The sequence below is a fragment of the Homo sapiens genome, chromosome 1 (assembly GCF_000001405.40).
Source record: "Homo sapiens chromosome 1, GRCh38.p14 Primary Assembly".
NCBI lineage: Eukaryota > Metazoa > Chordata > Mammalia > Primates > Hominidae > Homo > Homo sapiens.
Genome location: NC_000001.11, coordinates 61221511 through 61246696, shown reverse-complemented (window position 1 = coordinate 61246696; position 25186 = coordinate 61221511). Strand labels below are relative to the sequence as shown.

Below are 25186 nucleotides of genomic sequence, written 5' to 3'. Positions count from 1 at the left end.
TACAATGTGTCCTCCATAAATCAGTCATCCCACCTTTGAAGGGGATATTATGGACAATAACGCAAAGATAGTTGCTTCCAGATTTTTTTTTTAAGAGTTGGAAGGAATCTGAGACATTGTTTTAGTCTAATCCCTTCATTTTTCAGAAGAGGAAACTGATGCCCCCAAAAGATTAATATACTGCATCTGAAGTCATGCAGGGGTTCTGTTTCTCTTTCTGCCTAAAGAGAACCATAATACCTAGCTTCTATCAACCCACACTGTCATAGTAAATGATTATCAAGAGTTGCATTTTAAGTATACGGCATAAAGGTTAGTACAAATCCAAGATAACGTTACTTTTTCAAAATAACGTTGATGAACATATCTACTGTTAATTCCACTCCTAAAACAACAATCATTACTACAACTATATTTATGTCTTGGCAACTTTCCGAGAGATCCTGGAAATGGTAATACTTGTAAAGGAGTTCCAGTTCCTCTTTTTAAACAGCATTATTATTAGATCTTCACAACAGGATAACTATATTTAAATACTAAGTAGCTTATGATTCATATCTTCGAAATAAAATAGTTCACTTCCATATGCAAAGCTTGTCTTCAAACTGTGGACACATAAAGCAGCCACTAGAAAATAGTGGTTTTTAATTATGTGCCGGATTTAGTTATTTTGATTCTTTGGGGTTCATATAGGGTTTATAGGACTTCCCTCAGTTTATGGGGTTCAGACAAGGCTCATAGTGAATTTCACCTGGAACTTTTCACATGGTTTGAGCATTAACCAGGGATTGAGTGGTTTATAGATCATCCAAAAGAATTTCTGTCTTGGACTCTTGCCGTGAGCTCTAAGTATTTAAATTCCAAATGAATTTATATCACAGAATGACTACAAGTTTTTAGTAACTGTTTCTATTTTCTTATTTTTGCTATTTTAAATGAAAACCATGAAGTAGATACACAGAGAGGAGAATGTGATAATCCAAAGTTTTAAAAAAAACAAAAATAAAAACCTAAATGTCTTGATATCTATATATTTAACAGTTTACAAAGGACTTTCATATATTAACTTAGTGGATACTAACCACTGACCTTTGTAGAATATAATGAGATCAGTATTTATCCTAATATTATCTCACTCTTTACCTACGTAATTATGTTTTCTAACTGAAAGATTTATGAAAAATAATAATCAATTATTAATAGAATTTATTTTGTGAACAAAGTGTTAAAATCATTTTTATAACATTTTTTCCCCTGAAGAACAAAAGCTTCGACCATAATATATGGAAAACATTTTGTTGCCTATAGTTAGGACTTTGAACTTTGAAAATTTACTTTATATTTATGGAAATGTTTTCAGGGGATGTTATAATGAAGTTTTCCTGTGTATACGATGTTTAAAGAGTTAACACAATGAATGAATACTTACAAAACAAAAACCATGCCCCTCAATTTAATTCTGCATACATAATCTACAAGATTTCAGGATGGTGTCATAGCTTTTAGTTAAGAAAAACCCATCTAAATTTTATAGGTTGAAAGTTAGCAAAAACCCAAGTATGTCCTCCTCATACTAATGCATGAAATGCCATTTCTGCTTATATTTTGAAGACTCAAATTCATCCCAGCCATTTTTCTATACATAATACATGTTTGAGTTGGACAAACCTAGCAAGAGGACATTTAGTTCCATTTATTTCAATCTACTGAAAGTATTTAATGAAGAAAAAAATGTTTAAATCTCAAATATATCTCAGGGAACAGACCAGCAATTCATATTGCTCAGTCTACTTAATGGTTGACAATTTAAATCTAGACAGGTAGAAATAAAATTTTAGCATAATTCCCTGAAGTCTATTAGGTGTGTACGTAGAAAACGCATTTATGTGAAGTAAATTATTATGCCATTTAAAAGGAGGAGGATGATACTCTTTTGTTTGAGGAAAAATTCAAGATTTAGGCCTCTAGCCAGAACTCACAAATAATCTAGGGTTTTTAAATAATCAATACCAATTATGAAAACACTGTCACATTATTTGAATCCTACTTAAAAGTAAATAATACTCTTCTGAGAATGTCTGACCCAAACCCAGGTGACCACAAGGTACTAGATTATTTAAGTCCATCATTTGTAACTTATAACCATATAATTTAACTCACATATACATTCAAGGTATACAACAGCTAAACCCCTAGCCCTTCAGTTTCCCTACACACAGCCTCTCTCACCTATCCTGGCAGACCCAGGCCTCTGGCTGTGAAGAAAACCACAATGTGGGGAGGAAAGCCTACAAAAGAATGAAAACAGACAGTGTCTAAGGCCTTGGCAGAAGGACACTAAATAAAATAGAGAGTGGTGACTCATTTTGGCAGTGAATCCACCTCAACCCCTTCAAAGCCTTTGGCAAGAGTCCTCAGAGGAGACCCCAGCCTTTTGCCAAGCCACAAAACACCACAATTATTATCGCAGCAGTCATCAACAAAACAGATTTTGTAAACTGACTTGTTGGCACATAGATTAAAGAAGCTATAAAAAGGAATAACAGCTGTTTGGGTTGCCCTATGCAGAAAGCTACTATATAGAAAGTAAATTTTATATTTCAATACATACTTGGGTAGACACCAGCATACACATACACCCCATGTACTAATTACACGTGTATGCTACGTAGAAAAGGGTAAAATGCTAAATATACCACCACATAAATTTAAAACACAAACAACTCTTTTAAAGTAAAATACTCACTTTGGAAGGACTAATAGAAAAAATTTCCTAAAGAAAAGATTTCTGCAGTTCACTAATTTAAAACACGGACTGTGTCTACAACAGCAAAATGAATAAAGTTTCTCTCAAAATACTAAAAAGTACTATGCTTTTTCATATAAGCAAGAATGGTGATGTGGGAATTTGCAAAAATATGCCTTATTCTACCTACGTAAACACTGCCTGATTGGCATTTTATACTATAAATCTAGAATTTTGTCATGCTTCAGGCAATTTGAAAAAATTCTACTTGCTTACATACTCATAACTTGTTACGAATAAGTAAAAATGACATATTTTAAAATGATTTAATTTTTGCCTCAGCTACAACAACGTTAGTCATCTGAATAAATCATCAATGAATATGTAATAGAAAAAAAACAACAAAATTGACAAGTAATAATCAGTATTACACATTCTTAATCTGAAGATTTAAAATGCACTATGATTTACTGTAATGAGGTGTGGACTCTTGGTTTTCTAATTTAAAAAGAAAGGTTTTATTTGAGTTCCTTGTCACTAACTTACAGTACAATATGTAAGAATTGGCAAGAAAGACTTTTAATTAAACTATTTTACATTTGTAACATGTAACATTACAAATATACTCTGGAAATATGTAAGAAGGGATCTGCTACACACCTTGCATATCACACATTTGCCCTGCTAACCTCTAAATGCCTCCATAGCTTTATGTTGAAATTTCCAGAACTGAAGCATCTTAATGAACATTGATCTTCTACGCTGAAGGATACAGAGTTCAGATTTCAGCTCTGTCAATAACATTTGGTTTTACCTATTGAATGATTGGGCCTTGGTTGACAATTGCTTACTAGGTGAGAAAAGACTAGAAATAAACATACGAGAAGCTTTGATGGCTACTAACATTGTTGCCTAAATGGCAGGAGAAAATCATTAAAAAAAGGACCGAAAAGTCACATTTCTTGACTACCCCTTGTGATAGAGAATATACAAAATGTACACACCACCTAAGGGCTCCATGACTGAACAAATCCTAAAGCTATAGATTTTTCAAAACTCAAGCTATATAAACTATATCGCTCTATAGTATTATCCCTAGCTGATTCCACTACCAATTGAGATAAAAACAAAACGCCAGTACCTTCATGACAACCAGCCTTTTTTAACAGCTACTTAAGCATTAAATAAAATGTTTTATCACCTAAAAACTATCTTTAGGAATGCAGGTCTCAATCAGAATATAAAACCTAGTCCATTGCTGATATTAAACAGAAGATCTATTTAAGGAATTCACTGACTAAACTAACTGCCTGGAGAAGTTAATTTATCTGTCTATTTTTTAAAGGATCACACAGAAAAATTTCAACAACTTGTGGAAACAAATTCACTTCTAGGTCATTCTTCAAACTACCACAAATCCTGCCATTTTCAACTTAGTTTAGTACTGGTTATTTATATAATTAACCATATCACAGAGTACAAACTGCAGAGGGTTCAAATAAAATTCTTTTTTCCAGGCTTTGTTTTTTAAGTTCAAACTATCTTCCCTTATTACCATTTCCTCAGCTTCTTCTATCTACCTTGGAATCCAAGCACATTATGCAGCCAGCACAATGAACCAACATGCCAGCAGAAGTAGTATGCTCCACCTATCCAAGAATTTTAAAAGCATCCAAGCACACACACTGTCTCCTGTGTAGCCTGGAGATCCCTATTGAGCTCATGCCAAGTGTCTGAAAAGTTGGACCCTGCATCCGGTATTTACACTAAGCTAAAATTCTAATCAGCACTAACAGCAGTATGTTTTAATTCACCCTTATGATTTTATTTCAATCTGCTAAGTACCACAACTGCCAGAAAGCAATTGCTATAAACTTAAGTAAACAAATGCAAAACTAAAATAAATCTTAAACCTGTTGTATATAAAGTTTGTGCCACTTCAGGCAAGCAGTACAAAAAGGCACAGCCCGAAGTCTTAGTTAACGCTCTTCGATCTCATTTAGAAAGCTCTTTGAAAGTATTGCCTTGTCTAGGCTTTTCCCCTTTCTAAAGAATTATTTTGTGCATATTAGATAAGGTAAAGAAAATGACCATGTTATTTTACAGTGGTTTTTCACCTCATGTATTCCCCTGAATAGTCTTCTGCCAAGCATGTGAAACAAGTAGTACGTGGTGACTACTTGAATCTCTGGATGACACTACAGCCACTCGTGCCAAGGAGATGGTGCCAAGTCTTGCATCTTCGGGTTTGTGGTTTTTTTCCTTCCTTTTTGGGTGGTAGTTGTGTGGGGGGAGGGGGTTGGCAGTGGGGGAATCTGACCAACAGATTCTGAGAAGTTGGTCACCATTTTGAACCTGTTCAATGTGCTCAGACCTTGGCAGCCATCTTACAGCTTGGCAACCATTTTGAGAATTTGTTTGGCAAGCTCTCAGAATTCACTGACACTGTTTAAATAGAACGCTAGTTAAAAATAGTCCACATTAAACAATACAATGTGATATCAGGTAAAATAACCCCCAATAAATCTTGCCAACAAAACAATTTACAACATCCTCACTGAGGTAATGATATCCCAATTTCCTTAACTTAAATACATTGCACGAAAGCAGCTTAAAAATCTAATTCTTTAACCCTTTAACAGACAAGCTCTTAAGAAACAATGTCAGAGGGGCACCAGTTAGTAGGAAAGTGGAAGGTATAAGGAAAGAAAGATGGCCAAAAACACAGCCACGATTGACATCAACACATTCCCAAGCACTTTCAAATTCAACATATAAAATAGAAGGGAGAGGTGCTGTCATCACATTCCATCAGGTATAATTCTAGAAAACGATCACAATATTTCAGACTGTCCCACTTCATGTTTTATGAGCTCATGGAAACTCTCTTAAGGAGTCATGCAGCACAAAACTCTCCTTAGGTAAAGAAATTATAAACCAAAAACATGTAATCTTATGAACTGGACTAAAAAAAAAAAAACAAACCCCAAAAGACAAAATTTGCAGGTGCTGATTTTTCCAAAATCAAGAGTTACGTATACAGTTTTCTGACAAAGTGGTCATATTCAACTTCACTCTTTTCCCTTACGTTTCAACATTTCTAACTCAATAAAAAATAAGTTCTGTCCTTGAAAATATTTCTCGATGTCTACAAACCTGAAATACAAATGACAATTTTGCACTGGTGTGACTCTGGCATCATTACCAGACCTATATAGTTTTGTAGAAAACTGAATTAACCAAAATGACAGTGGGTGATAATTTTATAACATATGAAAAAAGAAAATTACAATCTAGTAATTTGAAAATATTTTTTGTCCATACTGAAATAAATAACACTTTCATGTATACTTCAGTATCTTCTCTTCAATATTATCAATATTTAATATCATGTCAGTATGGGGGGAATATTTACGATTAAAAAAAAGACCCCATTGTGTACGGTTTGTGGAAAAAAAAGTCTAAATGAGCTAGCCTGTGAACCTACTCTTATAGTTAAATCATAAATACGGTGATAAAGCCTAAAGAATTTTGAATCTTGTGATGTTAAAAGACAAAAATTTACAGTCATTAAATAATGACTGTTATTTTTGTTATTTGAATTTTAATGCTTTTGGGGGCATGATGGATACCTGACTTGTATTCTAGTTTCAATGGTGATATAACTTACAATGGCACTGAAAAAGAAGGCTAAAGCCATCCATTAATAACAATGTTTCCACTACTGCAGTGCTTTTTACACTTGAAAGCTGAATTTTAAAATTTCTATTGAAATTCAACAAAGAAAACATTTTACTTCACTTAATACTATACAGAGTGAAACAATTAGTTAAACCATGATCGAAATTAGAACATCACGTAGAAAGACATTATGCTGAAATGGATCCATCTGAAGTCTTTATACTATTAGATGTCTCTTTATTGAATGACAGTATCTGCAGAGATATGACGTAAACCATGCTAGAATAGTTTGGAATGCATTGATAAATTGCTCTATCGATCTCGTTCTGCTTCACTTACCATAATTATAGCACAGTAATGAAAGACATGAATGATATATTTTCACTAGAGAGGAAACCCCAGAATTTGCCTGTTTCTTTATGAGATTATACCAAATCCTTTCAATTAATACAGCATAGTTGATATCTAACACTATCTGATGAAAAGACACCCAATTCTAGTGTTCCTTCTTAAATATTATTGTTCAAATATTTGACAATTATTTCGAATAATATATTAAGTGTTTAAAGACATAGCATTTGCTCCTCTATAAGATGCTGTTTCAACACAATTTTATACAAACATTATTTCACTCAGAAAGCTATCTTTTGAAACTTTAAGCCACCTTACAAACACAATTTTATCACCTTATATTCATAGAACATGCTAGAAGTTACCCCAAAGTTTTTCAAGGATAATTCTAATAAGAGTTATTATGTTGAAGAAGAATACATATTAGAATGAAAGATAGATAAGCAACTAAAAATATTTTCAGAAGAGAAAATTAATGATTTAATGTTATCTGATAGTCCCGATAACGAGATTTCATAGAAAAGACTCAAAATAAAAATAAACACTTTTTAACAGACATCACTTATAATAATTATTCATTATCCATAATTATTTGGTATCCATAAAAGTAATCATTTAGTTTCAAAGAAACCAAAATCTGCATTAAAACCACGCAAGCATTAGAGCTGTTGTTGTGCCACTTTATTCTTCGTGATATTGCCATTCTAGAGTACTACTAAGAAAAGACACCAGGTTTTCCCAAATGGATACATTTAAAATTAAAAGTGTCATTCCAAGTTATGCAAAAGGAACGTGAGAAATCCTGAACAGGATATAACTGAGTCTTAACAACTTACAGCAAGATTGGGATTGCTTTTATTTTAAAATATTCATTAATGAAAATATTTCATTTTATTTGCTTTTGCTGTGAAGAAGGAAAATAAATATTGTAAATTTTTCAAAGAAAAATCAATTTATGGAAAAGAAATTCCCCCAACAACTAAATGGTATAAAAATTGATCTATTCTTCCCTTCTCAAATTACAAAGGCTATCGTGGGAATAAAATGTAACCCAGGAGAGCTGTGACAGCTATCAAACTTTCCCTGACACATTATAATGTCTGAAGCCCAGACACCAAAGGTTTACATCAGAAAAACTCCAGCATGTAGGGGACAACTCAAAACCAACTATCGACCACGCTATTGATTTTTAGTGGAGAAACCAAGAGGGAAAAGCACCAGAAAAGACAGAATTTCTTTTTTCTTTTCTCATCCTCAACTTAGTGCGCTGCCAAACTTAGGTCTTCTCAGGCTTGAGCCCTGTGAGCTTGCATTGCAGCTAGCCAGGATGTCTGTCTGAGATAATTCAAGCTGAAACCAAGCAGTGTACGGTGGAAGGCAATTCTCCATTGACTTGCAACATAACCTCAGAGACAAATGCAGTTTCTTGACAGAAGGGTACAGGAGACAAGGGAACAACTGCAAAACTAAAACATATAATTTTCTTTTCCGATGATGTCTGAAGATACCGCATATGACTCTGAAAGTTCATAAATTATGCTCGACTCAACAACTGCTAGGAAGCTAGGCCAATCATATTCGAAACCATTTAAATGTAGATTATGGACAAGGTGTTACAGATAGATTTATTTGGAAATTAAGGAGTAACCCACTTACTCCCAAATTCCAAACTAATGACACAGAAAACTCTAAGTTAATTTTTAAAGAGCTAACTTCTTCCCTTTCACATAAATTAACACAAAATGGGTTATTCGAGAAGCTAAAAGGTAACAAAGCAAACTGCTTGCTTTAGCTCCTTGGGGTCTTAATCACATAATCTTGAATTGGTTGAGGATCATTTACTTGGATCATTATAATCATATCCTACAAGTATTCTGCCATTTAATTTGTGAAATGCATGACCACAGAGCATGTACATACAAAGAATTATTAGATGCACTCATTTTACTATTAAATTTAGAGACGGCTTTGAGCCATTTGAAAATACTAACAATAATAATAATGATTAATAATGATGCACTTCCATTCTGACTCACAGAACTATCTCAAGAGGTTTTACAGCTGTTCCCTAATTAAGTCTCATATTCCCCACTCCCTTACTAGGTAGATGAGTACTGTGATGCCAATTTTATATCTGGGAAAGCTGAGGCACAGCAAAGTGGTAAGGGTAAATCAAGGTCCTACAGCAGGCACAAGAATGAAAACAAGAATGTAGTAAACTCACAAAATAGTGCATCTTGAAATCCATATTTGAAAACAATGATGGGAGAGGAAAAAAACTTGCATGGAATAACTAATGAAGAAACAAAAGGGCTTATCTCCTGTTGATTCTGTTGATTAAAGAACACCCACAATGGGTTTTATTTGTTTGTTTACTTGCTTTTACCTATTCTGCCAATGATGAAAACACTATTTGTTTTCTGAATTTCAGTTTTAATATACATAAGCACAATATTTTCTCTGCCAGAGATTTATCAGTCAATTGTCAAACTAATTCTTCTGTTGCTAATGTCATCCAACAAAGATGAGCTTCTCATATTACCTTCTGTTTAACAGAATTACAAATCACCACTAAAGAACTTACTCATGTAACCAAACACCACCTATTCCCCAATAACCTATGGAAATACAAAATTAAAATAATAATAAGTGCATATTTTTCTGAGTTGGGAGAGTGCTTTGACTTGCGACATGGCTATGTAAGTTTGATGTTCTCAATAATGCAAATGAGAGATAACTATATCACCAACTATTTTAGGGTTAAGAAATGCTTTGATCATTTATTCATTCAACATGGTGGTGGAGAGGTGAGGCACATCTCCTATGTGCCATGCAGTGATCAAGGTGCTAGGAATAGAGCAGTGAACAAGAGACAAAAAGTCCCCACCCTTCAGGAGCTTATATTAGACTGGACTTGAGAAGAAGGGTTCTAGATATGTATTAATTAATTCATTCAACAATTATGAAACACCTCAGCCTCTGGAATAAAAGTATGAAAGAGTCATTGGCTATGGCTTCAAAGAGGTTGTTCTGTTTTCTTCTTAGAAAATTTAATTTTCTTAAGATATTCTCACTGGTGACAAGCAAAAGAGTGATTGCCATAGCTCTTTGGGCAGGAAATGATTAGAGAAATGGACCATATCTGCCTATGGACTAAGTCCTTGGTTATGTCCTTCACACGTTAATACCACTGATGAATACACTGAGCCATTTTAGACAATAAGGAAAAGAAAGAAGTTGCAAAAATAACAAAATGATCACAAACAAGAAAGAAGTCCTTTCTTGAAAAAAAAAAAATCCTGTTTAGTACCTGTTAAAAACATATCCAAGTAATACTATTAGGCCAAAGTGTGGCTTGGAAGGTGTTTGTTAGCCCTACAACTTCGGCATTTTCTCTTTCTCTGTGTAGTATTTTTGTAGGTAAGGGTCATGATTTGGGGTTTAGATGTGATGAAGTACATTGGTGAGAAATCATATCAAATAAATAACGTAAAAATTATATAAAACACCTGCCTTAAAAGCACAGAGCAAACACTGCCGTCTGTTATTTTGTTCAAAGATAGCTTGTGCCATATGTTTGGGGACCCTAACTACAAGTACCCTCAAGATACAGCCCCTGCTTCACACCTATTTAGCTAAAGAACTCTCTCAGATGGCTACTGGGTTTGTCAGCTCTAAATAGGATGGCTGTTCCCATGTTGATACTGACCTAGAGAAATTGGCTTCTCTCTGCCCTCTCTTTCCACCTTTTTTTTTTTTTTAAGATGGACTTTTCTCCAAAACAATAAGTATACCTTGAATTGGATGCAGATGAATTGCCCATTTCAGGCTGTTTTTAACGTGTTCTGAATCAGCAGTAGAACATAAGATCAGCCCCAAAGTAGGGATAAGAGGAGGGAAGTGAAGTTCAGAACCATGTAAATAACATATCATTCCCCACTGATCTGTCATCCACATTGTCAGGCACTAACCTAAAACAACTATGTGTCTCTATAATAGCAAGACAATCTTCAGTTGAGTGGGGGAGCCAACTCAGTCTTTTTTCTTACAAATGAAGCTGAAAAACCTTTTGTCTCTTTCTTTTTCTTTTTCTTTTTTTTTTTTTTGAGACAGGATCTTACTCTGTCACCCAGGATGGAGTGCAGTGGCACTATCACAGCTCACTGCAGCTTCAACTTCCCAGGTTCAAGCGATCCTCCCACCTCAGCCTCCCAAGTAGCTAGGACCACAGGTGTGCATCACCACACCCAGCTTTTTTTTTTTTTTAAAGAGATGGGGTCTCACTATGTTGCCCAGGCTGGTCTCAAACTCCTGGGCTCAAGTGATTCTCCCACTTCAGCCTTCCAAAGTGTTGGGATTACAGGCATGGGCCACCAAACCCAACCTTTGTTCATTTTTTTTTATTTTTTATTTTTATTTATTTATTTATTTATTTATTTATTTATTTATTTATTTTGAGATGGAGTCTCGCTCTGTTGCCCAGGCTGGAGTGCAGTGGCGCCATCTCGGCTCACTGCAACCTCCGCCTCCCGGGTTCACGCCATTCTCCTGCCTCAGCCTCCCGAGTAGCTGGGACTACAGGCACCACCCACCACACCTGGCTAATTTTTTTGTATTTTTAGTAGAGACGGGGTTTCACCGTGTTAGACAGGATGGTCTCGATCTCCTGACCTCATGATCCACACGCCTCGGCCTCCCAAAGTGCTGGGATCATAGGCATGAGCCACCGCGCCCAGCCCCTTTGTTCATTTTTAAAAATTGCCTGTGATGTAGTAGTTTCATTCCTTTATTCACTCAACAAACACTGGTCCTCCTGTCCATTATGCCTTTCACTGCAAGTGGCAACTTATTTTTGTGGGAATAGCTTCTTTCTTAAGAAAAAAGTCTTAAAAGGGGTATAAAGGCTTGACTAGGATCAAGACAGGACCTACCAGGAAGAGGGAGGAACTAAAATAAGAAGCCAGGGGAACCACAGACAGATGCCAACTGGTATGGCCAATCGCAGCTATTGTGTTTTTAGGAAACAATGCAGATGTAGCCACTTAAAAACAACAACAAAAAAAGTAAAACAACATAAACTGTATTTTTAATTTAAAAAGCCTATTCAGGAAGTGCAGGCAGTCAAAATACATACTCAGTCTTCTTGAGTAACTTGTAAGTCATCCGCTCTCAGACCATTAAAGCAGCACAGCTAGAAAGGAGGGAATATTGACAGTTTTATGGTAACACGAAAAGCACAACCTTTTTTTTGCCTAAAGTAGTTAAATACTGCATCTCTTGCTGGGACTAGAGCTAACCATTAGGGGCCTCTCTGAGGGACTACTTTCTTTTATATGCTAGTATTTATGAAGGGATTAGTAAGGGCAAAGTAATATGGTAGGTGGGTAGAAACAAGAGAACAAACTTTCAGAGCTCACAGAAGAGTTGGCAATCGGAACAGAGGAGGCAGACGTATACCCGCATAACGCAAGGATTATCAGCATCAAGCATTCAAAACCACAAAGCTGGGTCTGTGGTCTCAGGAGCCACTTTTTTTTTTTTTTTTTTTTTTGAGATGGCGTTTCACTCTTGTTGCCCAGGCTGGGGCGCAATGGCACGATCTCGGTTCACCGCAACCTCCGCCTCCCGGGTTCAAGCGATTCTCCTGCCTCAGCCTCCTGAGTAGCTGGGATTACAGGCATGTGCCAACACTCCAGGCTAATTTTGTATTTTTAGTAGAGATGGGGTTTCTCCATGTGGGTCAGGCTGGTCGCAAACTCCCGACCTCAGGTGATCCGCCCGCCTCGGCCTCCCAAAGTGCTGGGATTACAAGTGTGAGCCACCGCGCCCAGCCAGGAGCCACTTTCTACATTAGGTCTTTGTGTGGAAAGGAGAGCCATTCTCTCACTTCCCCTTCTGACCAGATGATTTAAAACAAGAAACAGTTAAGAGGTCAAGGATCTCTTCACAGCTCTCTGTAGATCTACCTATAGATTCTCAGTAGAAAATCATAAATTATGCCAAGCAACTATTGAAACTAATGTAATGGAAACCAATTTTGTAGCTTTGTGGATACACTGACCCATGGCCAAACACCCTCCCAAGGAGAGACCACAGCTATCTCCAGGAGGCTGCTGGCACAGAAGGGAAAGTGTAATTATTGATTGAGCACCTCTGCGTCGGCACTGTGCTAGGTTTTTTACTTATGTCTATTAATTTCATCTCACAAATCCTCTTTGAGGTGGTTACTATCATCCCAATTTTACAGATAAAGGAACTCGGGCTCAGAGAAATTAAGGAATTTGTTCAAGGTCATAAGGCCCCAGGATTTCAACCACCTCCTCCAATTATAAATTCAAATATTCATTCTTCTATTCACAGCACAAGTAGTAAGCACCAACTATGACGAGACTCTTCTGACTTCCCCAGTTTCAGTAGGTTCCCCTTCACTGGGCTCCTCAAATACCTGCAGCATGTTGCTACCACAGGCCTTTTTAAATAGCTTAGCATCGTGACGGTCAACTTACGGAACTTTCTCCCGTCACCTATGAACTGAGTTTCTCAGTATGGTCTGTGGGCTCCCTGCATCTGAATCACCTGGTATTCAGTAGCATGATCTTTGGCCTCTAGTTCAGAATCTCTGCATTTAAGGCTTGGGAAAATACTTGCTTAACAATTCTTTCCAAGTGATTTTTGTGCACACAATAGTTTGAGAATAATTTCTGTATAAGATTTTTTCTAGGCTGCCTTTCATCTACAAAATCCAATGCATAGCTTAGACAAGAATATAGTAGGTACTGAATCAATGTCTGTGAAAGGCAAGGAGGGAGGGGGAAAAAAGAAAGAACATTTTTTTAAAAAGCAGTGCTCCAGAGTCCAGAGACAATATAAAGGCACTAAATACACACTCTAGGAGCTTAGAATTTATTTAGCAAAGACAATATACACTCAATTACAATTCTGAGAAAAAAATAGAACAAACCAGAACTAAAAGAGTGGTTAAAACCCAACGAAAAATTCTTGCCAAATGAATTTATGAGCAATGAGTGAAAAAGCAAGAGTTCAGAAAAATAAACTTGGGGTGACGTAAGTACCCACAGAGAGTTTCTTGGAGATGGAGCTTGAGATGGGTTTCAAAAAAGAAAAAAACTTACATAAAAAGGGAAGAAAGTAGAAAGTGTTTATACTTAGAGCAGGAAAAACTAAACTAAACTGGAAAGGAAGATGTTTTTTAAAAAAAACTCCTGTCACAAGTGTTTTTTAAAAAAATCTCTGTGCATTAATTTTTGCCACAATTAATGGAACTAATATTTACAGGCCAGCAAGTTTGAAATATAGTGCCAATAAAAACTTTTACAACTCTGGAAATTTCTAAAATTGGTTCTCTTTAAATTTGTAGCATAGGCAGAATACTGGATGATGTGGTACAGTAAAAACATTTTTGGCATTTAGTTGAGATGACCTGCATAATTCACTTGTGGCTTTACCACTTATAACATGTCATCTCAAACTCATGGCAATAAAACTTTTATGTAATATTGCTATACTATGCTTTACATAAATATGTACATATATAATATATATGGCTTAATTTTCCCTTTTAGTTAAAATGAGTCTAGCCCAATCACTCAGAGGAATATTTGTAAACTTGGATTATTCATAATTAGTGGTTGTGGAATGCCTATAAAACTGAAGGGCTACCCAATGCCATGCTTTATTATTCAGATATAACCTACTCAATATTTACTTCTACAAACGTAGAAGTAAATTAAGGGAAAAACTATTAGAAAAATCCAGAATCACTGTTCTGTTCTGTTTAATCTTTGTGGACTTGCTTTATACTTTCCCAATGCATTACATTTCTTTTTTGCATATTGAGTTCTGTTTTGAGCCCTCAATCAAGAAACTGAAAACTAAGGTTCCAGCCTCAAACCCGTCACTAACAGCTGGGTAATGATAGTAGTCACAGAATTTCTTTGAAAGTCAGTTTCCTTATCTATAAAATAGATGATATAGGCCCTCTCAGAATGCAATACTGTTGTATTATTTCTTGTTTTGTTTTTTTTTGTTGTTGTTGTTTGTTTGTTTGTTTTTTACACTGAGGCATGGTCTCTCTGTGTTACCCAGGCTGGAGTACAGTGGCTATTCTCAGTTACAATCACAGCTCACTGTAGCCTTAAACTCTTAGCTCAAGCAATCCTCCTGCCTTAGCCTCCTGAGTAGCTGGGACTATAGGCATGTGCCACTATACTCAGCTTAGACTGCTATTTTTAATCTTAAATTGGCTGTTATATAAGCAGGTCTTACCTTATATACAAACTTCTTAAAGGCTGAGCTATTTTACAATAGCTAAATACAATAGCACCAAGTTGAGTCCTAAGCATATAAAAGAACATGGATATTTTTTGAATGGATCTGAATTTTACATATATATAATAATTGTGTCATTTACTATTTTAAAAACATTATGTGATTACATTTTCAGCATATAAGCTAATGACATTAATCTAGGCATAACATCTAACAAAGAAATGGTAAGCAGTGGCAACATAAACACAATTTATATCCTAATTCATAGGACTTTATTTTTATTCCTGAAAAACCATTAAACATTGGTCAAACTTTAGTGGTGACATCAAATATGTGTATAGTGATACTTTATATCCAGTCATTGCTTAGTTCCAATATGCAAAAGAAAAAACCAGGAAATTTTAAAGTAACTGTCCCAGAAAACAGCTGTGTAACTATAAAATTATCTCAGAAACACAGAACTTCATGAGTATCAAATTTGTTAAAAATATACATTTCAACAAATAACAAAGAGCCAGCCACTGAGCTACATGCTAGAGATGCAACGAGCTTTACACTCTAGTGGGGGTCACTAGTAGCTACAGTATAATGTGATAAGTACTGTGGCAGAAGTATACAAAGCTTCTCAGGAAACAGGGAAGGTAAGTCCCTAACTGCAAGAAAGTGTGTGGAATGGTTTTCCAAGTGATCCAATGCCTAAACTGAATGTAAAGAAGAGCTGGAGTTTTCCACACTGTGAAGCCATTTAGATGGAGAGTGTCCTGTAGAGAAACCAGAAGACGCAATGGCCCTGCACTGACACTGCAGTACTGAGGCACTGGTAAAGCACAGCACCTTGGTAAACTGTAAGCATGGCAACCCAGCTAGAACACAGAGCTGGAGCAGGGTGTGCCCAAGTGTGAAAAACGGGATGCGGGTGAGGAGAGTGGACTTTATACAGCTGGTGAGAGGGAGTCAATGAAGGTATGTTAACAAAGGAGCAATAGTTGTTATTTCAGAAAGATCACTCTGGCAGTAGTGTAATGAAGGGATAGATGATTGGGAAAGACTGGGAGTAAAGAGGTTACAAAGTCTAGGTTAGAAATAATAAAGGTCTAAAATTGAAGGAAACATAGGGTAGGATAGGAATTAATTTGCATGCTAATGAAAAGGTGGACTCGGGGAACTTAGTGGATGATTAGATATGAAACATGAAAGAAGAGTAAGAGATAACTTCTAGGTTATGATTTGACAGAAATATTTAAGGGGTGATACCATTAGATGCCATTCCTTCCTATTCATATAACTCTCATAATTCAGAACACCCACTTCACAGTAGGTCTTTCCATCAAATTACTGTCAAATTATTTTAAGGTTATTTCTAGATATTCTGTTTTTTATTGCTCTCCTGAATGAGATCTTTTTTCTGTCACAGCTTCTTATTGGAGATGATTATATAACACAATTTTTGGCTTTGGGATGTTTATCTTTTAACTAGATCTTCTGCTAAATTTTCTTATTAATTCCAAATGTTTTTTAATTAAACCTTTTGTCTAGGTAGATAATTCTATCATTTCCAAATAGTGATAATTTCATTTCTTCCTTTCAGATAGTTATAATTCTTATTTCTAAGTCATATAATATGACATTGTCCAAAACTTCTAGAAGAACATTAAATAATAATGGTGATAGCAGCCATCTTTGTTTTCTTCCTGATCTTAGGGGAGATGATTCCAATATTTCACAATTCAGTATGATTCCTTCTGTTGACATGACATAGATAATTTTATCCTGTTAAGGATACTATTCTCCTTTGTTACTGGTTTTAAAAAATTTGGAATCAATGCTAAATTGTATCAAATTCTTTTTGTTCCACATGATTTTTAGTAAGGTTTTCACACCTGTATCCCAGATTTTTGTAGAAAAGTCAACATTTAAAATATTTAAAATTTGAATGAAAAGGCAATAAATGCATGTTGGGGAGGAAGGAAAGACACACAGCTCCTGATTCAATCAGACTTTGATCACAGAGCAAGGATGGGATTCTTATAGCACCTAGCATAGTAGGCATTCAATAAATGAACCAATATTGATTTCTCTTTGAGATGACATCTAGTTTCACATTCCATTTTTGTTTGAGCTTATCAAACAAAATCAAATACAAGAAATTTTAATAAAACATTTCCTAAGATCTTACCTAGAGCAACAATGATGTTTTGGAGGCCTATGTACATGAGAAAATATTTGAGAGATGGGATGAAAAATTCACTGCACTATAAATATATCACAAAATTTCAAGCATAAATACAAAAGATATTTATTTTCAGAATATATGACTGAGTAATTTGCGGGTTATATTGAGAAAAATGACATAGTAATTTATCTTTCTAAGAATATCTTTAACGTGATCTTATATTTTATGCTTTTTAGTTCAATAAAATGGTCAAGTTGATTTGTACAGAGGAATTAAGAAATTTGGTTCCAATAAAGGAAAAAATTACGTTGCTTTTTTTTTTTCTTTTACCCTGACTCCATTCATGACTTACTTCAGACAATTCAGATGAAACATATTTATTTCCTCCCCTATATGAAAGACAATAATTTGTGTATTTTTTTGGGCAATATATTTGCATTCTTTTTTATTAATGGGTTCTTATAAGATTCTTTTAAGGTTGAAATAATTAACCTTTAAAGGCACAAATAATTAATAGTCTTTTCTTTGTTCAGGATTATTGAGCTTATTGTTGCACTCAAATGTTTTCAAAAGAAAAATTTATATCTCAGAATAAATGAGGAGATAATAAACATTAGAGAGCAAAGACATACAATGTGGCTGCCTAACGAAGAAAGCTTAAATCATAAGATATAAACATAAATCAGGGAAAATACTACTAATATGATCTTCAGGATTCTTTTGGATTTAACATTACACCGAAAACCTTCATGTACACATTTTTTTTAAAAAATACAGAAAGCCCAGTATTTCTACCAGGTCCAGAAAAAAACAAAATGAATGAATGAATTGAATACTGCAGAAATTTTAAAATTTTAGAAATGCCAAAAAGCTAAATCTCATAGTTTCTGGAACATAATAGTTTTTCTCTTCCAACATTAACCCTGTCACATTTTGGCCATTATTATTTGAGCCACACCATCCATTTCTTTGAACATCTTTCTTCAGGGTAAGTGTTCAATACTGAAGCCCAGTCCAAGCCAAGGATGCACAGATGGGTGGTTACAGCTGCAGCTCCTCTGACAGACTGCAAAAACCCGCTGGGACACTTCCCCCAGCTCTGTCTATCCATCTTGTGAGCTGGTGCAACTCCACCTTGCTCACGGCTTTGTTGAGTGTGTCACAGGACTTTGGCCAAAATGCTACAATTCGAATGGGTCTTATTAATGGGATGAAAAATGGACTCTCAAAACACACTTACATACAGATCACATGTTTTTCCTGAAATGACTGACAATTCTAATAAAAAAGAACATTATAATAGGTTTAAAAAAACCTTCAGAAATAGTGTATTCAGACTCTCTTTAGCAGGGTGAATGAGTCAAGTTACTCAATAGGATCCATTCAGACTGATTAAATTGGAACCAAGCCAAAACAGATCTTCAAGATCTGAGAGATAGTGGTCATTGAGCCGGGAAGAGGGAAATGGCATCAACTTGAGAATGTACAGACCACAATAGTGATAGAAAATAATAAATTGGTCAGTCCAAAGGCTAGCACAAAAATTTATAATAATGAAACTTCTAGGCTTAAATATTCACAGCTTTCCTCATTTAAAACCTGAGATAATGAATCTGAAACACCTGCTTATGATACCAGACAAGGCCACTTAAAGATTTTAATTAGGAATAGACTAAAGTTTCTAATCTGAAGTTTTATTTACTTACTGGTTACTTCATCTACCTTCCAAAAATAATTTGAGATGGTTCATAAACATATAGTAAATTAGCACACATACACATTTAAGTCCATAAAAGAAGAAAAACATGAACAAAAACTGCAGGGGTTAGAGAAGTAGTGGGGGCAAAAACTTAGGCTGAAATATTCACCAAGGTTAAGAATTAAACTTATCTCTGAGTTTCTTGGGAGCCAAGGCAAAAAGGGAAACAAGGCATTATATAATTTTTACGCCCTGATGAAAGAAAGAATACCGCCTTTCAGGAGTAAAGCTTTCTCTATCGTGACTTTTAAAAAGAACGAATCAGTCTTCAAGATCCCATCATCAAATCGTGCCTGTTCTGCATGATTCCTGACCTAGATTGCCAAAGATTATGAAATCAAGCTTGATAAATTATGAAACAGCTCAACCAATTTCTAAACTAAACAAAAAGGGAAAATCAAATGAACAAACGTTTCCAAACATTTAAAAGTTAGAACCACCCAAAATAAAATTGAAACCAGCGGCAAATAAAGCCAATCCAAATCTCAGCAAACCAGAATCACAAAACCCTGTCGCTACAGGCTTGGGAAAAAAATGCTGCTTGTCAGTCAAAGTGTCTGTCTATGGCATATGGGTAAAGGTTTCAGTCTGCTATCTCCAGACTCATCTTATGGCACTGGTTCAACACCAGTGAATGGTGCTTTAAACAAAAGGAGAGCTCATTCAAAATGGGCGTTTGAGAGTTACCGGTCAGTGTAGCTGTGCAGTTTGTATAAGTGAAAACTATTGGCATGGGAGAAATGAAGTGCAGCTCCCAGGCCTTTGGAGTTTCCTAAGTGCTGAAAAGCAGCCGGGAGGTTAAAGCTGGCTGGTCGGAATGGCATACTTGGCTGAATGCACAGCCAGGTGGCTTGGGCATATTGGCAAACAACTGGCAACCTGCCCAATACATATGGCTTAGATTGCTTTGCTCTTCCCATGAAGCCTTCTTAGACTCTTGAGCAAGCATTCGTTTTAGAATAAAATGTGTCTGAGTGTTAAATAAAATTTTTTAATAATATCTGTCTGATGTAAAATCCCTTTACCAAAAATAAAAATAAAAATAAAAAGATGGGAGGGGTTGGTTGCCAAATGCATGAAATAAAGCATTTCTTTGTGGGAGGAGACTTTGCAGATCCCTTTTCAACCATCTTTGGACTGAATTATTTGGACCTTTCAGGTTCATGGGGGTTAAAATGACCCCTGCAATCCCTGAGAAGCAGGGTTAATGTGAAGTTTAGGGATGGCTGCCAAGAGGTCAGGTGACTATGAATTCCTAATAAATACATAAAAATACAAAGTAAGTAGAGTAGGATAATGGATGTGGACAGCAGATACATTTTGTAAAGGAATATTATGAAATCTTGATTGACAGATAACACTAAAAGGTGTTAGTATGGTCTATCATGTAAATACATATCTGGAGACTCGTTAAAACACAGTCTTTAAGTGCTAACTGTTGAGGCACATGTTACTTCCCAGGCTTTACCAAGTGGCTGCTTAACGTCGACAGCATGAGGCAAACTTTGGTTTAATAACCCCAGCTGATCACTAATCTTGTAATGCTACTACTATCGTACCACATTAAATATTACACAAATACTACTTTCTTCTAAAGTTGGGTTTTCTTCTGTTACACATGTTTGTTGTATGTCCACTGTTTCATTTTAGTTTACTGGATATCTAAAAAGTATTCACAACTGATACATTAGTGAATTAGATTACATGCATTACTGTCAGAATCCTGTTTTACTTATGATAATTTTTAAATATAAGTTTATGGTCCCTTAAAGTTGCAAGCCATTCATCTAATAAACTATGTTAAATCTTCTGGAATTATTATAGTCTACTCGGTAAAAAGATTACAGAGCTGGTGTTGTATTGTGTGTGTTTTTTAAGATTTTAAGCTCAGTAACAGCTCAAACACTGAAATAAATTAATCTCTCATACTAATGAGGGCTCCATACACTCACAAATCTAAAATCTCTTAGGTAGATGCAAACATATATATTGCGATAGAAAAGGAATCATTTGTGCTTATTCAGCAAGTACTGAAGATGTCAATCGTAGATACGAACAAGCAAACTTCCTTTTGGTGATACAAAATAAAATTTCCTGCTATAGTTGCTCCATCTCTTTCACATGCAAAAAAAAAAAAAAAAAAAGTACGAGCTGGGCGCGATGGCTCACAGCTGTAATGCCAGCACTTTGGGAGGCCGAGGCAGGCGGATCACAAAGTCAAGAGATCAAGACCATCCTGGCCAACATGGTGAAACCCCGTCTCTACTAAAAATACAAAAATTAGCTGGGCATGGTGGCATGCACCTGTAGTCCCAGCTACTCAGGAGGCTGAGGCAGGAGAATCACTTGAACCCGGGAGGCAGAGGTTGCAGTGAGCTGAGATTGGGCCACTGCACTCCAGCCTGGCAACAAAGCGAGACTCAGTCTCAAAAAAAAAAAAGTACTATGGACATAAAAACTCATGTAATGGCTTTACATTGAGTATTTACTGTGTTTTAGGCTAAAACCTTCAAATCAATTTCCTTCTCACAGACTTTTTTTTTTGTTTTTTAAAAAAACAAAAAACAAAATATATAAGTGATAGAAACACATTTTGAGGAATGGAGCAAACTTAAGGTGGAAGGGTTCAATAGATTCCTATGTCATGAATCTGGAAAATAATATATTTTTAAAGTCTGTTTCTTGGCAGGGATAACACAGCAAAGAGCTTCATTAGTAAATCTTTCCAATACTCAAAATTATGGGGTGAAAGGAGTGGAGACCTTTTAAAAATGGACTTTAGTGCCTCATGAAATGACCTTTGCAGCATCACATTTTCAACACCCTTATCCTCTGCTCTTGATCAGCAAGTAGTACCACTTAAGAGCTTTATTAGAACATCCCTTTGCCAACTTGGAATAGCTCCAGGCAACTCTGTCTTCCAAGGACACAGTTTGAAGTACTTAGAGTAAATTGCAATGGACTGGATAGATGAGTAGAGGAGGTGAGACAACTGAATCAAGTATCACTGCTTCTGAGACAGAGTCCCCCACCACCAGGCACTTGGTACCAAATGGAGACTAGAGCGTTATTAATTTTTAAGGGCTTCAGATAAACAGAAGGGTCAGCAGGAAGATGATTTTTACACCAACAGGACTGAATCAGAATAAGTTTCTTCACTCAAAAGCAGAGAAAAGGCTAAGGGCATAATTTCTCAAAGTGTGTTTTGGGAGGTTAATGGGGGTTGCATGAAAAAAGGATTCCACTGACAAATAAATTTGGCTACTGCTAGTTTAAACAAAGTTCTCAGACCCTCTAATATATTAATGTGCGTCATGACTCTCTCCAAGAGAGACAACAGTATGCATACATATTTAAATCTTAATTCACCAAAAAAGCACACTTTTTTCTATGGAGCATAAGAGATAAGCATTAAGAAGTATATTTTGGCTAATATTAACTTGAGCTTTTAAAAGTTAGACTTAAGTAAACTTGTTTAAAATTAAATTGAAAAGTTAAGTTCAAGACAATAAACTAATTTTAAATATATTTTTAAAACTAATTTTTAAATATTAAACTAATATTAAAAACTAAGTAATAATTTCCCTATTTTAAACACAGTGTCTAACTGACCTTACTGTATGTATCTCAATAAGTAAAATTCTATCTTATCAGCATTAAAAGTCCTCCCCACCTCCAAATAAAACCCAACTCTAACACAAGCTTTTTTCTTCATATTAGGCAAGAACCCTCTGGTAATATGTAAATAGAGAGGTCAGTTTTCAAACAGGCTGGTTTCTGAATATGGGTTTTAATTATTTAAAACAAAATTTAATTTTTCTAGAAGGTTTCTGAGATGAAGTTTTAGTTGATATCCTCAGAAAACCTCAAAGTATTTGTTAATAGAATTTAGCACCCTAATGATCTAGATTTTGGTCACAGAGTTGTCCAATTAGAAAATGTAAATTTTAATAAATAGAAATACAGAGAAGAGGTGGAGGATAGCTATCATTCTAAATAAAATTACTGTTTATTATCAAATGAGAATTCCACATTCAGACAAAATATTTACAAAAAAACAATTCTGGAATCGTGGAATCTCAGAGAAAGTCAACAAGTGATCATAAAATTTTTAAAATATAATTTGAAATGTTTATCTTATATTCTAAAAATAAGTTAAAATTTGTGGAGTTTCCAAGTAGTCTCATTTTATATTCTCAATTCCCTTTATGAAACCTGAAAAACTGTAAGTTTGTACAGGTCCATCAAAATCCATATTTTGTCTCCTTGCAAAGTACAGGGAAAGGTTCTTCTACTCATAGCTGCATGTGACACCTTTCATTAAAGCTACTTTTTTTAAAAAAATGACACAAGAATATGCTTGGATTACAACACATTTTCCTGGTAAACATTTGCTCTATTTTATTTTTGCTTCTGGTCTCTATTTCCTGGCCAAAGAGTAGTCTCACCTAATGGTAATAAATGATTTACTTCTTGGTTAAAACTCCTAAAGAAAATGTTCTTTAAATAGTGAAATTTTATTCAATTTAATTTTCAAAGAACTGCTGTTAAAAAATTCCAGTTAAAAAGAAAGATTAAACAGTTCTAAAAATAAACAATATTTGGTTAAACAAATACACAGATTTAAAGCATATGGGTAAAAATGAATGTTAGTGTAAACATTCGGCAACATTTTTTCCCTTCAAAAAAATTTCAGAGCAGAAACAAAAAAAAGTTATTTTGGTTTAAATTGTGAAGCCATTTTAATAAGTAATCATTTCTTCCTCAAGAAAAAACATTTGTATAGCCTCAGAAATCTGTTTCATTTCAGTCTTTGTATAAAACTGCACATGAAAAGTATATTTATAAAGGAAATACCAGACTTGGAATTATTTATGTCACTGTAGCATATATATAATAAATGAGAGCTCACTGGAGATATACATATCTTACATATATGAAGGTTGAATTCTGTCTTAAAACCTACTCTAAAGGAGTATTCTAATTGAATCACATTTTTAAAGTTCTATAAAGCATTATTTCAGCATAACAGTGTTTTACCTATACTTTAGCAAAACAGAATCTAGCTTTTTACCAGATGTGGTACTGACTCTAAATACCCATCATTAAAGTTAGTAAGTTTGAAACTATACCTCTCAGCTCTCAGGGCTCAATTCTCTTCTTTTCCTAAGTTAAAGAAAGACTATAAGGACTCAACCTTTAAACTCCTGGTAACATTCACCCCAAAATGGGAAACTAGAGCTGAATACATCTGCATGTAACAGATGATTCAAGAATGAAAACAAACAGGTTGAAAATATGCTAATGAGGAGAAAAGGCAAGGTACATAGAAACCCAACTGCAAGACTCTAAACGGTATAACGGAAACCTTAGAAACATAATGCAAATTACTTGACTTTCTTTGCAACTGGATACTCTTGGACTTAGATTTAATATTTTACATCATTGCTATGAGAATATTCTTTAAAGGTGTTGCTTCTGCCAACTAAATTTAAAATATGTGTAAGAAAACCGTAAAACTTTTTAAACTTCTCCATAACAAAGAGCCCACACTATCCATTTCTACAGTAAAACTTAAAACACGTAGATCACTTTAAAACTTCATATAGTGATAGTGTTTAACATAACTTATTTTAAAAGTATCTTGTTTTAGAGAAAATTTGTGAACAAAAATGTTGTACAGAGTTCAGAGTGCTTTTGAAGCCCAAAGACCAAACGCTCAGTTTTAACAAACCAACAATGTCTGTTCATTTTGCCCAAATCTTTTCAGCTTAAATATTCACAATGTGCCATTATTACCGAATCATTATCTGCCTTTAGCTCTGACAACAGCATCATACGGGCTATGAAAGGCTCCTTTCTTCTCATGATTAGTCCCTAAAACATTTCCTCATCTTACAGTGCTTTTTAACTTCCCAGAATGCATTGCTCAATTACAGTGCTGAAATTAACTGTACGCCACTCTTATTTATTGAGAAAAGAATAATCAAGTACTCCAAACCATGTCATGGGTTGCCCACAATTTTATATCAAATTTCAACTAATAAAAATATTAACTCTTTCAGGATGCCAATTTTTAAAATCCACCATTTATCTTCACTTTTTGGCTATGTCTTGCAAAACTATCAACGATTTGGATTTCTACTGTTCTCTATAAAATACAGCTTTTACAATAAATGCTAAGTGT

At 35.0% G+C, this 25186-nt stretch overlaps 1 protein-coding gene across 4 annotated transcripts in view, besides 1 other annotated feature; it reads right to left on the bottom strand.

Moving 5' to 3' along the window:
* The window catches only part of NFIA (nuclear factor I A), a 385562-nt gene that overhangs the window by 216092 nt on the left and 144284 nt on the right, over positions 1–25186 (bottom strand). The window lies entirely within an intron of this gene.
* Positions 12526–12820: a silencer, noted in NCBI's record as "tiled region #4387; K562 Repressive DNase matched - State 5:Enh". NCBI's record gives its function as "represses a minimal TATA promoter and a strong SV40 promoter by Sharpr-MPRA in K562 cells {active_cell/tissue: K562}" and the evidence as "EXISTENCE:reporter gene assay evidence [ECO:0000049][PMID:27701403]".